Source organism: Homo sapiens, chromosome 17 (genome assembly GCF_000001405.40).
Source record: "Homo sapiens chromosome 17, GRCh38.p14 Primary Assembly".
Classification (NCBI taxonomy): domain Eukaryota; kingdom Metazoa; phylum Chordata; class Mammalia; order Primates; family Hominidae; genus Homo; species Homo sapiens.
This window is the reverse complement of record NC_000017.11, coordinates 3062376-3063944: the sequence shown is the minus strand read 5'-3', so window position 1 is coordinate 3063944 and position 1569 is coordinate 3062376. Positions and strand designations below refer to the sequence as shown.

Genomic DNA, 1569 nt, shown 5'->3' with positions numbered 1-1569 from the left:
ATACCACTTAAAACCCTGTATAAAATCATAACATAACACACTAAACTTTAAACACTTCAAGACTATTGGAAGATGGCAGGATTAAAAATAAGGCTTAGACATTGTTTTTATAATATTCATTATGTCAGGTGAGAAGTTGCTGGAATAAATAAGTTGCATACTTTCCATATTCTATTTTTGTGCCTATAATGACCTGTTGCTTTTGTTATTTTTAAAGTTTAGTCCAAGATATTTTAATTCTAAGAAAAGAGTTGATTTTGCTTATCTTCGTGTCCTTATTCAAATGAGGGCACTTAATAAACATTTGTTGGTGTTAATGTTACAGAAAGTTGGGGGAATGGATGGAGATAACCAGAGTGAGAACTCACAGTTCCTTCTCCTGGGGATCTCAGAGAGTCCTGAGCAGCAGCGGATCCTGTTTTGGATGTTCCTGTCCATGTACCTGGTCACGGTGCTGGGAAATGTGCTCATCATCCTGGCCATCAGCTCTGATTCCCACCTGCACACCCCCATGTACTTCTTCCTGGCCAACCTCTCCTTCACTGACCTCTTCTTTGTCACCAACACAATCCCCAAGATGCTGGTGAACTTCCAGTCCCAGAACAAAGCCATCTCCTATGCAGGGTGTCTGACACAGCTCTACTTCCTGGTCTCCTTGGTGACCCTGGACAACCTCATCCTGGCCGTGATGGCGTATGATCGCTATGTGGCCACCTGCTGCCCCCTCCACTATGTCACAGCCATGAGCCCTGGGCTCTGTGTCTTGCTCCTCTCCTTGTGTTGGGGGCTGTCTGTTCTCTATGGCCTCCTCCTCACCTTCCTCCTGACCAGGGTGACCTTCTGTGGGCCTCGAGAGATCCACTACCTCTTCTGTGACATGTACATCCTGCTGTGGCTGGCATGTTCCAACACCCACATCATTCACACAGCGTTGATTGCCACTGGCTGCTTCATCTTCCTCACCCCCTTAGGGTTCATGACCACATCCTATGTACGTATTGTCAGAACCATCCTTCAAATGCCCTCGGCCTCTAAGAAATACAAAACCTTCTCTACCTGTGCCTCCCATTTGGGTGTGGTCTCCCTCTTTTATGGGACGCTTGCTATGGTGTACCTGCAGCCCCTCCATACCTACTCCATGAAGGACTCAGTAGCCACAGTGATGTATGCTGTGCTGACACCTATGATGAACCCTTTCATCTACAGGCTGAGGAACAAAGACATGCATGGGGCTCCGGGAAGAGTCCTATGGAGACCCTTTCAGAGGCCTAAATGAAGGTAATTTTGGAAAGGGGATTGAAGTGGAGACCGGAAATATCCTTCTCCACACATAAGGCATTATGCTTTGGGATATGCAACAGTCAGAGTACAGCTCCAGCTCAGGATGAGCATATCTACCTGTGGTGAAGAAAAGACACAATGTGTATCCCAGTGCCTCCCAGACCTCACCAGCCTTGGCAATAAATAATGTCATGCTAACACTACTACCAGGATTTTACAGGGTCAAATATTTAAACCTGCTTGATCATAGGCCCACAGTCCTAGGCTTATCTATATATACACAGTCAT

General features: G+C 46.1%; 1 protein-coding gene across 1 annotated transcript; it reads left to right on the top strand.

Annotated features, from left to right (window-relative positions):
• The first annotated feature begins 337 nt into the window (after positions 1–337).
• OR1D5 (olfactory receptor family 1 subfamily D member 5) lies at positions 338–1276 on the top strand. Its single transcript, NM_014566.1, has one exon. It carries the CDS (start codon positions 338–340, stop codon positions 1274–1276), a length of 939 nt encoding a protein of 312 aa, NP_055381.1.
• Positions 1277–1569: the final 293 nt, after the last annotated feature.

Coding starts and splice junctions, on each gene's coding strand:
- OR1D5 (NM_014566.1), top strand. CDS start 338: ATGGATGGAGATAACCAGAGTGAGAACTCACAGTTCCTTCTCCTGGGG.